Here is a 15391-nt window from a genome sequence, read left to right on the forward strand (position 1 = left end):
CCTGAATTATTGTGAAAATATCTTCTCAGCTGCTTTAGCTTTCTTCTTTGTGAAAGGCAGAATGGAAAGAGGCCTGGGATCCAAGTCACAAGACCCAAACTGCAGGCCCCACACTGCCACAGTTCAACCCTTCTGTGTCTCTGTGCCCTGAAATGTAAAACATGGGCTTGAACCAAGTAACGTCCAAAGCCCTACTTAACTCTAACAAATGTGTTATTCTCTAGTTTCTTTCAGGTTGCCTGTCTCAGTTGAAGAATATGACTAAATTTTTTTCTCATTAGCATCCATATATAACAATACCATAGTCATCTTTTATGCCATCTTTTCATCTATAATAGTCCTTCCTTTGATACTCTACTACTCTGTTTCATATTTAGGAGGCTCAAAAGTAGAATTGCATTGCAGCCTCGTACAGAGGTAAGAATGATGCTATAAAATTTGTCCTAGGCCCACTTAACAATGATGTGACATATTTGTCGTCCTTTTAATAACACACACTGTTTTCAATGTATCCTAACATGTTAGCTTGCTTAATTTTTTATTTTTTAAATGTTTTAAGTTTAATTAATTTTTTTGTAGAGACAGGATCTTGCTATGCTGCCCAGGCTGGTCTCAAACTCCTGGCCTTAAGCAATTCTCCTGACTTGGCCTCCCAAAGTACTGGGATTACAGGTGTGAGCCACTGTGTTTGGCCAGTTTACTTTATGTTGAAAAAAATCATCACCATAACCATTAAGATGTGGGCTAGGCTGGATGTGGTGGCTCATGACTGTAACCCTAGCACTTTGGAGGCCGAGGCGGGTGGATCACCTGAGGTCAGGAGTTCGAGACCAGCCTAGCCAACATGGTGAAACCCTGTCTCTACTAAAAATACAAAAATTAGCTGGGCATGGTGGTGCATGCCTGTAATCCCAGCTACCCAGGAGGCTGAGGCAGGAGAATTGCTGGAACCCAGGAGTCAGAGGCTGCACTGAGCCAAAATTGTGCCACTGCACTCCAGCCTGGGCAACAGAGTGAGACTCCATGTCAAAAAAAAAAAAAAAAAGTTGTGGGCTAATATTATTTTATCATAAACAAGATGACATTGCTAAAATATCCAAAACAGGATGGTTTTAGAGAAGTTCAATTGAGGTTTTTCACTCTTTTCAAAAAGCCAGATTTTTAAAGTAAATAACATGTATTATTTGTATATGCTATAATTTGCATATACTAACATATAAAATAATAATTGATTCATATTGATTGCAATAACAATAATTATAATCCAAACTATTTGTACAAACCAGTATTTGAATACTGGCCATATGGCTCAAACAGTTCCATATCCAGCCCTATATTATTTTCAAGGCAAATTCTCCATTATTTTCTCAGAGAGGTACAATAGCAGCTTCTGAATGCAAATAATTTTTTTGAGTTGCATGGCTGCTGCTTTGCTTGAAGTTGTTAAGGCTTTCTCATCCTTTTGAACATAAGTTCTGTAAGACTTCTAACTAAAACTATTCTTTAGATTTTTAATATGTATTCATTTAATTGGGTTATACTCACCTAATCTGGGATATTAGAAAGCATTAGGCTTTACCTGTCTTTTAAGTCCTTGGTTAAAAAAAGAAAAAGAGAAATTTAGATATGAGTAATGTCTCTTCGGTTGAATTACTGAACTATACTTTAGGTTTAGAAAAATTGAATATAGGTTCACTCATTGTCCTCTCCGTCTTCAAATTTCCAGAATTGAACTCAACTTCTTCAGTGATTACTGGAACCATTACATGGCCATTTCTTAAAAGAGATTATGAAAACAATCATTAACCAAGACTTTTTGGACAGAACTGCATTTGAAGCATGTATGATTATACAGTATTTTGTTGCTTTCTTAAGCAAAACAATGCATTGAGTAGTGTCTTCAGGAGACAAAAATAGTTCTATTCATAGAACCTTTTCTGAATTGTAATATGCTTGGAGCTTAAAATCATATAGATGTGTGCTCAATTATTTTATTTGTGCACTTGACCACACTGGACTTCTGTCATTTTTGCCTAAGCACACAGCTTAGAAAGCTATTTTTTTAAGTTTATTTTTACTACCAACTTTTACTTAAAGTTAACTATGACCTTTAGCTTTTAGCTGTGCACTACTTGCTCTGTCTTGGCCATTTATAGTGATTTTAATAAGACCAGCCTGCAAGTATCTGGAAGGCACACCGTTTAATATGTGTTTATTTTCCCTAATTTTGTTTTTTGTCTCAAATAACTTTTATATCCATGACAGATAAAATGAATCTGAGTTCTATGACTGATTTTGTTTTAAATTAGCCTTTAGGATAGAAGTGGTTAAAAAGTCTTTTAAGGCTGGGTACAGTGGCTCACGCCTGTAATCCCAGCACTTTGGGAGGCTGAGGCGGGCAGATCACGAGATCAGGAGATTGAGACCATCCTGGCTAACCAGGTGAAACCCCGTCTCTACTAAAAATACAAAAAATTAGCCGGGCATGGTGGCAGGTGCCTGTAGTCCCAGCTACTCGGGAGGCTGAGGCAGGAGAATGGTGTGAACCCGGGAGGTGGAGCTTGCAGTGAGCTGAGATCACGCCACTGCGCTCCAGCCTGGGCAATAGTGTGAGACTCCATCCCCCAAAAAACAACAACAACAACAAAATGTCTTTTAAAACCCTGATTACATTTGCTGGTTCCCCTTCCTTTGCACACATATTTACCCCCTTAAATAAACTTGATTCCCTGAGGGACCTCATGTTGGTCTGTTCTTTTTTTTTTTTTCCCTGAAATGGAGTCTTGCTCTGTCACCCAAGCTGGAGTGCAGTGGAGCGGTCTCAGTTCACTGCAACCTCCGGCCCCTGGGTTCAAGCAATTCTCCTGCCTCAGCCTCCCGTGTAGCTGGGATTACAGGCGCATGCCACAAAATAATTTTTGTATTTTTAGTAGAGACGGGGTTTCACAATCTTGGCCAGGCTGGTCTCGAACTCCTGACCTCGTGATTCACCCACCTTGGCCTCCCAAAGTGCTGGGATTACAGGCGTGAGCCACCGTGCCCGGCCTGGTCTATTCTTGATAGTCTGTGTGCTTTTTAAGTATTTAGTGATGTTGCCCTTATCATAAACTCCTCTTGTTTATGGGGTCAAATGAGAATTCCAGTGTTTTGATATAGTGGCCCTTCACAGACAGTTATTCCCCACCCATCCCCTCAAGACACACCACTGAGACTTGTGCAGGTTTATACTTGTTGATGTTTCAGACTTACACGTAAATATCTTTTGTGGTGGTAACTCTGCTCTATCGCTAACACAGTCCAGTGACCCCAGAGCCACACTGGCTGTAAACATGACTCAGAAGCTGTGTGATTACAGCAGTTCCAAGCCTGTAGTTGAGGGTAATCTTCTAACTCTGAAGTCAGGTGTGTGGAAGGGCCGAAGGTTATGAGTAAATGAGCTGAAGAGAGACAGATGCCAAACTCAGTCGTGATTCAAATGCACTTCTTGCTTAGATTTAGAAAACATTCTCTATGCTTAATAGTCTTTGACCCATTTTTTCCAACCCGCCCATTGTAAATGACAGTCATGGAGTGGAAATTTCCCTAGCTTCTTCCTTGGAAGAGCATCCATTCACCCTGCAGTTCCCAAGGAGCGTCGCAAAAACGAGGCTAAGGGCACAGACAAAACTCGGGCAGTGAAGGTGAGTGAGTGAGGTTGTTGATTCTGGGTGGCTGTGAGTGGGGCATCTGTGTAGGAAAGGAGCCGGGTTGGTGTGCGTTACAAACTTTTTCCGCGCTGCTGGGGTGGGGGTAGCTGGTGTCTGCTGCTCCATGAATGAGTCATGGGCTGAGGGTAGAACTTGCTCTAGGGAGGGGCTGCGTCTGGCTCACAGCATTCTCCAGGAGCACCAAGGGGCAGATGAATATTTTCTGGCAGTTTACCTGAGCATTTCAGAGAGGCAACTAGCTCTGAACAATGCAGATGGAAACCCAGAAGGAGAGAGGGAGCCAGTCCACATGGTGTGCTGAGATGGGGGCTCTGCATTTGCTCAGACCAAGGGGCTCCTGAGCACCAGGGAGAACATTCAGACTGTTGGGGAAAGGGTGGGCAAGAGCAACAGACCGTGGGATATTGTGGGAGAGTCATAGCAGCTCAACAGGACAGACTGTAGGCTATCCCAGAAGCAGACAGTCTCAGGGAGAAAAGGGAAATGCAGAAAGCAAAGAAATGATGGGCCCTCAGTGGGACTCAGCCAGCCCGTTCTAAAGTACTTTCTTATTGAGATCAACGTGTGGTGCAAATGAGAAAATTATCCACTGCTGGATTTGAAAGAACCTTGAAAGTCTTTGTGTCTAACACCCTCACTGGTTACAGTGGAGCCTGGAGAGGGGAAGTGATTTACCTAAGGTCATACAGTCGGTTGCTTATAAAGGACAGATTTGTCCAGCTCTATGTCCACTGCTAGGATGTAAGCAAGTGACCTGCTGAGCTTGTGCTCATCACCCAAAGGGTGAAGGTGACCTGCCATACACTGCAAAGGTTGAGTGAACAGAAAATGCACAGGCAGAATATTTTTGAGAGAGCAGGAGGAGGTGGTGGTCAGACTTGTGGAATTGTTAATAAGCAGGTTTGGGTTATGGAATTGAGCTTAGTCAGGCAACATGATCCAGAAAACACGAATCAAGGTGGTGTTTTCAAAGCAGTTCATTGTCCTTGCACAAGCAGGGCCTTAAAGAACTGAAGAGTCCTCTGTGTGTGTGTGTGTGTGTGTGTGTGTGTGTGTGTGTGTGTGTGTGTGTGTAGAGGTGGCTGCTTAGATTCAAGGGAGGAGAGTACAAACAGATCTTTGGGAGAAATGGGATTTATGCAGTAAGACTGGGCTTCCTCCCCGAAATAAAATAATACTTGTGATGGGCTCAGTGGCTCACCTCTGTAATCCCAACACTTTGGGAGGCTAAGGTGGGCAGATCCCTTGGGCCCAGGAGTTTAAGACCAGCTTGGGCAACATGGCAAAGCCCCATCTCTACAAAAAATTTAAAAATTAGCCAGGTGTGGTGGTATGCACCTGTAGTCCCAGCTACTGGGGAGGCTGAAGTGAGAGGATAGCTTGAGCTCAGGAGGTTGAGGCTGCAGTGAGCCATGATCACGCCACTGCATTCCAGCCTGGACAACACAGCAAGACCCTGTCTCAAAAAAATGGATTAAATAAAATAATATTTGCATTAACAAATATTAGGGGAAAAAGATAAGGTGTGTTCCAGTTAAGAAACCAAGAGAAATGAATATATATATTGAGATAGGATGTCACTCTTGCCCAGGCTAGAGTACAGTGGCATAATGTCAGCTTACTGCAGTTTTGACTTCCTGGGCTCAAGTAATTCTCCCACCTCAGCCTCCCAGAGTAGCTGGGACTACAGGCATGTGCCACCATGCCCAACTAATTTTTTTGATTTCTAGTAGAGATGAGGTCTTGCTATGTCACCCAGGCTGGTCTTGAACTCCTGAACTCAAGTGATCCTCCCACCTTGGCCTCCCAAAGTGCTGGGATTACAGGCATGAGCCACTGCACCCTGCCAAATGTATATTTTTTTAAAGTGTTTGACAGTCATCTTTTGAATATGGTTCTGGGAACATTTTTTGTTTATCGGGTATGAAAATATACCTGATCTCACCAATTTAAGTAATTTATAGGAAGTAATAGAAAAGTCAGACTAAAATGAACAATCTGTTTTGTATGGGGCAATGAAGTGAAATAATGAAATAGTCAAATTGGAATGCTTGGAAACATTAAATGCTTGTTGTGGTTGGTAGCTCAGATGAAGGGGCTTTTGAGAAACAGAGGATTGTATCCCTGGCAGGCTAGATGAATATGGGTTGGGGTAAGGGTGCAGGAGCTTGAGAAGGGGCACTTTGGGTAGAATTATGTGGAAAGAATGACATAAAAACCAATAGAATGAAAGTGTACCAGAAAGCACTCTAGAATCTCTGTGGGTGGAAATTCCATTCTTAGATAATGAAGCTGTGGCAGTAGGAATGTATGTGAGGCAACCTGCCAGGGTAATGAGATGAAGAAACAAATAAAATGTAAAGGCTACAGAATGAAGAAGCAAGTAAGGTGTAGATGCCACAACCCTGGGTCTGACACCAACTCCTCCCCTGGGCTTGTGTATTTTGCACATCTTACTCCCAGATGCCTGGGCTCTGAAACCCAGAGTCCGTTTGATATTCTCTCCTCCTCACTCATGCAGTCAACTCATTGATTTCTTCACAGCATTGATCACATTGACTGCTTTCCTATTTCCCTACTGCTGTTTTGGTCTCGGTCCCCTCATCTCTGGGTACTGGAATGACTTCCCCACTGGTCCATCTACTCTCAGTCTTTTCACCCACAATCTATCTGGAAGAGTGTTCCACAGTCTCAAATTTGACTTTATATTATTTACCCCCCTCGTTGTCTACCAGGTAATAATGCTGGGCCCAACCTAGCCATCCAGCGTCCATGAGCCCCCTCTGTTTCTCACACTGCTCCTTAGGTTACACGTTCACTAACCTCACTACCTGTTCTTCTCACACATCCCAACTCCCTTTCTAGTTTTGGAACATTCAGCTTCCTGCTCCCTTTGACGACTATTCTCTCTTGCCTCTTACATATCACAATAATGTGTCTATTTCTTTTTAAATCAAACTAAACAGTACTGAGTATTTAAGTTATTTAAACACAGACCCAGGGCCTGTGGAAAGATTTGATTCTAGCTCAAATCTAGCTTATACCCACTCTTTTCTGACATGTCCCACCCAATCCCAGCTTTTGACCTTCTTTAACACCTCCTTCTAAAACTATCACTAGACATTGCTTATTGCAGTTGACACCTCATGAATGGGCTTAAATCATGTCCAGAATGTATTCCTTTTGCAACTTTGGGCAAATAACTTCAATCTCTCTGAGTCTCAGATTTTCAGTTGTCAAATAAAGAATACCTTATACGGTGGTTGTGAAATAAAATTACCTAGCAGAGAGCTAGATACATGATGAATGCCAAATAAATAGCTAGCATCATCATTAATATTTTGCCTAAGGACCAATTTCTGGATTAAGTAAGCTATTTCAGCTCCTGATGGTTTTGTAAAACATACAAGCACACAAAATTGGCTATCATTTATAGCCTTTTACTTGTTAAGGCTCTTTCAGTTTTTTCAAAGATATATTAGCATTCCCAAAGCAAGACTCTTCTATCTGCACTTGCTGAAGTGGAGAATAAAAAACTAAAAGACTTCTATCTAGACTTGGTCAAGGCATTTATTTTAATTTCATTTTCTTAAAAGATAATTGTAAGATAATTTTTAAAATAGAGATGGGGGTTGGGAGGGGGGGGTGGTCTCGCTATATTGCCCAGGCTGGTCTTGAACTCCTGGACTCAAGTCATCCTCCCACCTCGGCCTCCTAAAGTGCTGGATTACAGGCATGAGCCACCACACCTGACCTTGGTTAAGGCATTTTTAGGTAATCGTTTAAACCTGTTTCTTGCTCTGTGAATTTGGATAATTGCATTTATATTTTCACACCTGTTCAACCTCCCTCCCCAGGACCTATGGCCCTGTTTGGGCTTTTGATCATTTCCCAATCCAGCACCTCTTGGAGCTCTTTCTACTTGTACTCTCAGGCTGTCCCTGACCCATTATCAATGCCACTTTTTCTTCTGCCCAGTGCTCCTTCACTATGTTGTTCTTTCCGTAGGAAACATAGTGAGCCTGCCTAAGACCAGTTTTCTTCCTGCTACGTGCTGTGCCTGCGTGACTTTCTCTTGACTTGAACTAGTGTTCTCTATGCTGAATAGGCCTAAGAGCTGCCTTTGGTCTTTTTAGTCCTTGTCTCTGTTACAGACCCTAGTTCTATATTTTTCTTACAACAAAGATCTGTAAGTTCTACCCTATGGGGGGAACTTACAGACCCTACTCTACCCAGATAACCACTTATCTAACCAGATAACTACAGAAATTTTATCCTCAACATATATAAACGAACTCTCCTTTTCCCTAAATTTGCTTCATCTCTGATATGGTCTGGATGTTTGTCCCTTCCAAATCTTACGTTGAAATGTAATTCCCAATGTTGGAGGTGGGGCCTGGTAGAAGGTGTTTGGGTCATGGGGGAGGATCCCTCATGAATAGCTTGGTGCTGCCTTGCAATCATGACTGAGTTCTCGCTTTGATTTCATGCCATATATGGTCATCTGGTTGTTTAAAGGAGTGTGGCACCCTCCTCCTCTTCCCTTGCTTGTTCCTGCTCTCCCTTTGCCTTCGCCATGACCCTGCACTTTCTGAGACCCTCACCAGGCAAATGCCGCCACCATGGTTCCTGTACAGCCTGCAGAACCGTGAGCCAGTTAAACTTCTTTTATTTACCCAGCCTAGCAATGCAAAAATGGCATAATACAATCTCCATTATTTTTTCTCAATTATAGCATTTCTTAGTTACCAAAGTCTTATTTTCTTTCAGTTAATTATCTACCACATTATATTGATTCTGACTTAAATATTCGTCAAAGCTGGGCACAGTGGCTCACACCTATAATCCCGGCACTTCGGGAGGCTGAGGTGGGTGGATCATCTGAGGTCAGGAGGTCGAGACCATCCTGACCAACATGGTGAAACCCTGTCTGTACTAAAAATACAAAATTAGCCAGGTGTGGTGGCGCATACCTGTAATCCCAGCTACTTCGGAGGCTGAGGCAGGAGAATCGCTTGAACCTGGGAGGCGGAGTTTGCAGTGAACCAAGATAGTGCCATTGCACTCCAGCCTGGGCAACAAAAGTGAAACTCCATCTCAAAATATTCCTCAAGTCTGTTCGCTCTTCTCTCTTCACCCTGCCCTACTCTACACATCTCTCAGTGAGGCTGTCTCAGCAGCCTTGGATTATGTCCCTGCATCTCCTCTTTCCTTCTATCAATCTCATTCTCTGTTCAACTTTCTTTTTTTTTTTTTTTTTTTTTTTGAGACAGAGTCTCGCTCTGTCACTAGGCTGGAGTGCAGTGGAGCAATCTCGGCTCACTGCAACCTCCACCTCCTGGGTTCAAGCAATTCTCCTGCCTCAGCCTCCTGAGTAGCTGGGACTACAGGCACACACCACCATGCCCAGCTATTTTTTGTATTTTTGGTAGAGACGGGGTTTCACCATGTTGGCCAGGATCATCTCAATCTCTTGACCTCGTGATCCTCCCACCTCAGCCTCCCAAAGTGCTGGGATTACAGGCATGAGCCACCGTGCCCGGCCTGTTCAACTTTCTAAAACACAAATGTGGGCGAGTCATGCCCATGAGTTAAAACTGCCAGTGCCACTGTTTGCCCAAAGAATACATGCAAACACTCAGCATCGTGTGAGGCCTTTCCCAATCTCCCTGCCAGCCTCATCTGCCACCCCAGCCCCTCCACTCAAACCCTACCACTCTGAGCATCTCTCTCATCCTCTTACCAATCTCAGTGGTCTTATACTGGCTATACTTTCTGCCTGAAATATCCTTCCTTCCTTCCTCTGCTTATCCAGATTCCACTGTTCCTTCACGAGCTAGCTTTAATGCCTTAGACTCTAGAGCTTTCTTACGTGGCTTTTCCTCCATTTGAGTTCCTGCCACTCTTTGTTCCCAGGCTGGCACCTCACAGCATTGGCCCCCTGTATTGTAACTGGTCATGTGATTGTCAGACTCCCCAGAGAGAGTGGCAGTTCCCTGAAAGCTGAGACGAGATTTTGTTTATCTTTGTGCTGACCCAGTACTGTCTGTGCCTGTAAACCCCCGTCACCTGATGGAATGGATGTCTGCCCTATATCTCAGGGCTTTGTTATAAACTCAAATGAAAGGATATTTATGAAAGAACAGTATGAACTAAACTACAAACACAAGAACGCTGAATCTCCCGGACTGGCCCTCTGGACTCGAATATCAGCACTTGGGGATGAATGAAGAAGGTGCATCATTTCCAGGGAAGCAGATTTGCTGTTGACTAATAAAGACCATTTACTTGGAGTGGGGCCAACAAAAGCCTAATTGTCTTTTGTAGCCTGTTTCTGTTTTGTGTTCCATTTCCGCAAATAATATTTAAATAGACATTTAAAATTAATTCTAATGGGCTATCTCATAAAATTATCTGAATAACTAATATAAAAGATTCAGGGCCAGGTGAAGTGGCTCAGGCCTGTAATCCCAGAACTTTGGGAAGCCAAGGCAGGAGGATCACTTGAGCTCAGTCTGGGTAACATAGTGAGACCCCAACTTTACAAAATATCAAAAATTTAGCCGGGCGTGGTGGTGCTTGCCTGTAGTCCTAGCTGCTCGGGAGGCTGAGGCGACAGGGTTGCTTGAGTTCAGGAGGTCAAGGCTGCAGTAAGCCATGATCATACCACTACACTCCAGCCTGGGTAACAGAGTGAGACTCTGTCTCAAAATTAAAAAAATATTCAGCCTACAGGAACAAAAAATAGAATGGGGATCAAACAGTTTTAGAACATGAAAGGAAATGATTTTTTTGGACAGTTGCAGAGCCTGTATGAGAGTCCTAATGGTGAGGGGTGGGGTGAGGAGTTACTAAAATGCCAGCAGTGAACCCAGGGCTGCCTAGGCGTCTGAACAGTAAGAAAGTTGGGTAAAACATGGAGGCCAACTTCAGGATTATCTGTTTGAACTGCAAAACTAACATGGATGTAGATGTCCTTAGCAAAGTGCTACAACTAGGATTTGCCAGGTTTAGCAAAAAAAAAAAAAAAAAAAAAAATTAAAAATGCAAGATATCCAAATAGTGCAGGGAACAGGCTTATGCTACAAAATTATTTGTTGTTTTTCTGAAATTCGAAGTTAACTGCACATCCTTTTTTTTATCTGGAAAACCAAGCTATAACCCAAATGACTTCAACAACTTTGAGCCCGATATTATTGACAGGATGGGGCTCTGGGGCATTTTGGAGAAAGAATTGAGGAAGATTCGCGTGGACTCTTCTTGCTGTAAACAACCAGAGTAGTTTAGGGCCACAGTGAAACTGGTGGTAGATTGCCATCTAGTGGAAAGATATTAGTAGTGAAAGCTAAAATTGGAGGACTGGACAGATTTTTTGTTTTTTGTTTTTTGGTTTTTTTTCCGGAGTTTGCCAGGAAGGATTCCGCTCTGGCCAACTGCAAAGTCCTGAGGTTGCACTGTTAGACGAGGAGGACATGGGTGGGGGGAAGGGAGGGTAGGAAGCAGATGGAATAGGAGCAAGGCTGAAATGCGTTTACCTCGTGTTCTAAGCAGAGTGCCTGGACCATTGTTCCATTCCAGCATGCAGAAACTTTGCTCCCTCTCCACGCAAAACCAGAGCAAAAGCTAGAGCTTCCTGTAAGAAGCGCAAGATTCTTCCACCTGAGGATGGCTCAAAGTGATGTGGAACTATCAGAAACAAAATTGTAAAGATATAATCACTCATCGTTACAACCAGCGACAAAGGAAGTCATCCAAAAGGTGACAGTGTGGCTGGCTACACAGGCAAGCTCAGATCTTGAAAAGGTTGAAAAAATGCAAAAGTTAAAAGAAAGCACACACTGGAATTCCAAAGACGGTATCTCAAAGTGAGAAGCCTGGAAGAAACTCCGCTCTGCAAGCATGCTGAAGACCAATACGAACAGTAACACTAGCAATGATAATAATAAAGCCAAACTTGGGACAGGAAGGAGAGAGAAAAGAGAAATGTACTCCTGCGGGCAGACATCATAATGTCAACATACAATACAAACACAGCAGATGCACTTGAGTTTTATTTCAGACTATCTTCCCAAAGAAATGAAAATATTCTAGAAATTAAAAGAGTTGGGCCGGGCGCAGTGGCTCATGCCTGTAATCCCAGCACTTTGGGAGGCCGAGGCAGGTGGATCACGAGGTCAAGAGATTGAGACCAGCCTGGCCAACATGGTGTAACCCCATCTCTACTAAAAATACAAAAAGTAGCTGGGCGTGGTGGCACGTGCCTGTAATCCCAGCTACTCGGGAGTCTGAGGCAGGAGAATCGCCTGAACCCGGGAGGCAGAGGTTGCAGTGAGCCGAGATCATGCAATTGCACTTCAGCCTGGGCAACAGGGTGAGACTCTGTCTCAAAAAAAAAAAAAAAAGAGTTGGATAAAAAAAAAAAATAATACTAAGATGGACTTAAAAACCCAAATTGGAGCCTTATAACTTTTAAATCATCCTATATGTTTTCTAGTACAGGACAAGAGAGGGTTTCTAAGACTTACTAGAGGCAAATATCCTAATTTCCAATGACATGATTTGTTGAAACTAAAGGACAATAAATTTAATGTAAAATCTTATGGAATTCTATGAGATTCTTGAAAAATGGCTTATGAACACTTAGGTAAAAATTAGCCAGAAAAGACAACAGGTGTTCTAAGCTAATCTGTCTCATTTGTTATATATTTAGGTTTACAAGAATGTTATATTATCAGAGTGCTATACAGAGAATATGTTTTTGATTTTATTGAATCATAGAGGAGTTTTATTCCTAAATCCTTGAGGGAGATAGTAAAGGATGGTATGGGATGATAATACAGTTAAGGAAGATTTGTAGCTAGTTTAACCCTCTATACAAAAAAAGAAGTACCCATTAATGGAGTATTTTCAAAGAGGAGTACCAAAATGTCCTGTGCTGACCTATATTCTGTTTACTAATTTATTAATGATTTGATTATAAAATGTGTAAAACATATTGATCAGATCTGCAGGCAGAACAAAACTGCAAAAAAATGGCTAATATTATATAAGAACTCCAGAGCATCTTAAGCTCAATATTGGGCTAAAATTAACAAAATGAAACTGAACAGGCCATATAAATCTCTGTATGTTTAGATTAGAAATGTTAATTCTCCAAGTGCAAAATGAGGAGGGTGAACTGCCTTTAAAACAGCTTCTGTTTAAATGACCTAGAGGTCATAGTTTTGGACCAAGAATATGAACCAGCTGCACAAAAATGCTAATGTGTTTTAATAGAGACACCATTTGTAGGGTATCCTATTTAATGGAGATGACAGCTGTACCAAAATGTTGACCAGACCACATTCAAAGTAGGCTTCATTTCTGACACCACTCCTAAAAGGAACATGGGCAAACTCACATTTATTTGAAAAGAGGCATACAGGGTGGCAAAGAGCCTGGAGCCCGAGCCCCATGAGGGCTAGCAGACAGAGCTCCCACCATCACCTGTAGAAGGCAAAGCTTTTATAATAGGAATGATATACAGTCCTTAGATTTGTGATTTATTTTTTGTAGTACTTGGAAAACAAAACCCAGATCAATCAAACAAGATATTGGTTTATTTCTAGTAGAAGAATTTTATAATAAAGCTCTTCAAAAATTCTGCAGGTTCTTGTGAAAGGGAGTTAGCCCCAAGCCTCGGGCCCTCCACTGGGAAAACAATACTGAATGATGCCCCATCAATGGTGGGTAGAAGAGATTCCTGCAAGTCAGGAGCTTGGATTTTTTCTTTCACCCCTAAGTTTCCATGCTTCTAAGAAGTTTTCACGATTTTCTCTTTGTTTAGTGTTTGTTTTTAATTCTCAATTCATTTTATTTTTAGTATACTATTAAATCAACACTTTTTATCTAAGAGTTGCATGTAAGGACAGATGTCAAAGTTGATTTCCGTTCGATTCTTGGTGTTAGATGCTGTATTTGCTCCATACAAAGGTGCTGCTAATCATTGAATAGCGGGAGCATGAACCAATTAAGATCTGGAGGAGAAAATATCCAGCCACCATGTAGGGCTTTGAAAGCAACGGAATGCTCTGGTGATTAATAGAAAGAGCAGTTACAGTCTTCCATCTATTTTGCCCTATGTCTGTCTTTAGGCTGTTCATTTCATGAGCCTCATGAGACAGAATGTGAAAACAAAATGAGATATGTAAATATATACTTTTAAAAACTCAATTGTTATGCATCATAAAACATTTCATAATTTAACAAATACATATCCTAATCCCTAAATTAAGGGTACTGAAACCTGGCTATTACAATCTCCATCACATATCCGCCAAGTCGACCTTCTGGTTTTCTCCTGACTTCTGCCCCTCTGGTGGATTTCTGCATTCTTTCAGAGACATTTTCTCATTGGCTTGCACTTATCTATTGTTTTAATCACACCTCTCTAATCCCTAAACACTCCTCTTCTTTATCTATTAGGAGGACATTGATCTTTATAACTATTTACTGACTCTCCCCCTTTTCATATTCATCTTCCTGTCCCTTCAGCTTTTTTTTTTTTTTTTTTTTGAGATGGAGTCTCGCTCTGTCTCCCAGGCTGAAGTGCAGTGGCGGGATCTCGGCTCACTGCAAGCCAAGCTCCACCTCCCAGGTTCACCCCATTCTCCTGCCTCAGCCTCCTGAGTAGCTGGGACTACAGGCACCCGCCACCACACCTGGCTAATTTTTTTTTTTTTTTTTGGATTTTTAGTAGAGACGGGGTTTCACCATGTTAGCCAGGATGGTCTCGATCTCCTGACCTCGTGATCCACCTGCCTCGGCCTCCCAAAGTGCTGGGATTACAGGCGTGAGCCACCGCGCCCGGCCTTTCTCTGCTCGTTTTCCATTCCACTTTCTGACTCCTGTGCCATCTCCTGTCTCTCCCGCCCCCTAGCCTCTTTCCTTTGTTCCCTTCCTGACCTGTTCTTTCCTACTTTAGTACCTCTCAGGTCCCTTTCCTCCAATCTCCAGATCTGTGCCTTACCTTTTCTTTTCTGTTTAGATGTATTTTAGGATAGATTTTTCTTCTGTGGTTATCTTTCTCTTTCATCACCCAGTCAATGTTTTGCTGCTTCTTATACTACTGTCTTCACCCTTCATTCATCTTTCTGGTCCTTTTCAGTCCCATCTCGCCCTTCTCCCAGGCACCACCCACTTCTCTTTTTATACAAATTGGTTGTTTACCCTCCTTCTCATGCTCCCTTTAGCCCTTAACATACTAAAGCAGGATCTCAAGCATAGAACCAATAAGGTCTAATTGATGTTTCTTCCTTCATTGCCTAATTTGTCATTTGCCTAATTTGGCTCACCACCAGAGGACGGAAGGAAGTTATTCAAGTTCAATGTGGATGCAGAATCACTCTGTGCAATGGAACAGGAGGGTGGTACATCCTCAGTCAGTGTCCATTCTTTCCTGAGCTCCTGACCCCTTGTGCAGACATCTAGGGAGCATTCTCCATCTTTGGTTAAGTTCTCTCTTGTTCCCTCCTCTTCCTACATCTCAACCTATAACCAAACCTCCCGAGATTAGCACCCAACCTCAAACGGTAACCATAAACAAATGGAGGAGGTAAAATTGCAGTCTATGGGTGAGAGTTAAGCATGAAATGGTTGGTGATCATTTTAGGGGGTGATCTCTCAAGGTGCTTAGCAAAGTGTCT

General features: G+C 42.4%; 1 long non-coding RNA gene across 1 annotated transcript, besides 1 other annotated feature; it reads left to right on the top strand.

The window, feature by feature from the left end:
- Positions 3435 to 3635: a silencer, noted in NCBI's record as "peak6811 fragment used in MPRA reporter construct". NCBI's record gives its function as "represses an SCP1 promoter by STARR-seq MPRAs in K562 erythroleukemia cells {active_cell/tissue: K562}" and the evidence as "EXISTENCE:reporter gene assay evidence [ECO:0000049][PMID:32103011]".
- On the top strand, positions 5516 to 10010 carry LOC124901817 (uncharacterized). Its single transcript, XR_007060649.1, has 2 exons — positions 5516 to 6090; positions 9624 to 10010. It is a non-coding gene; the product is annotated as an uncharacterized LOC124901817 (long non-coding RNA).

The sequence above is a fragment of the Homo sapiens genome, chromosome 7 (assembly GCF_000001405.40).
Source record: "Homo sapiens chromosome 7, GRCh38.p14 Primary Assembly".
Taxonomy (NCBI): domain Eukaryota; kingdom Metazoa; phylum Chordata; class Mammalia; order Primates; family Hominidae; genus Homo; species Homo sapiens.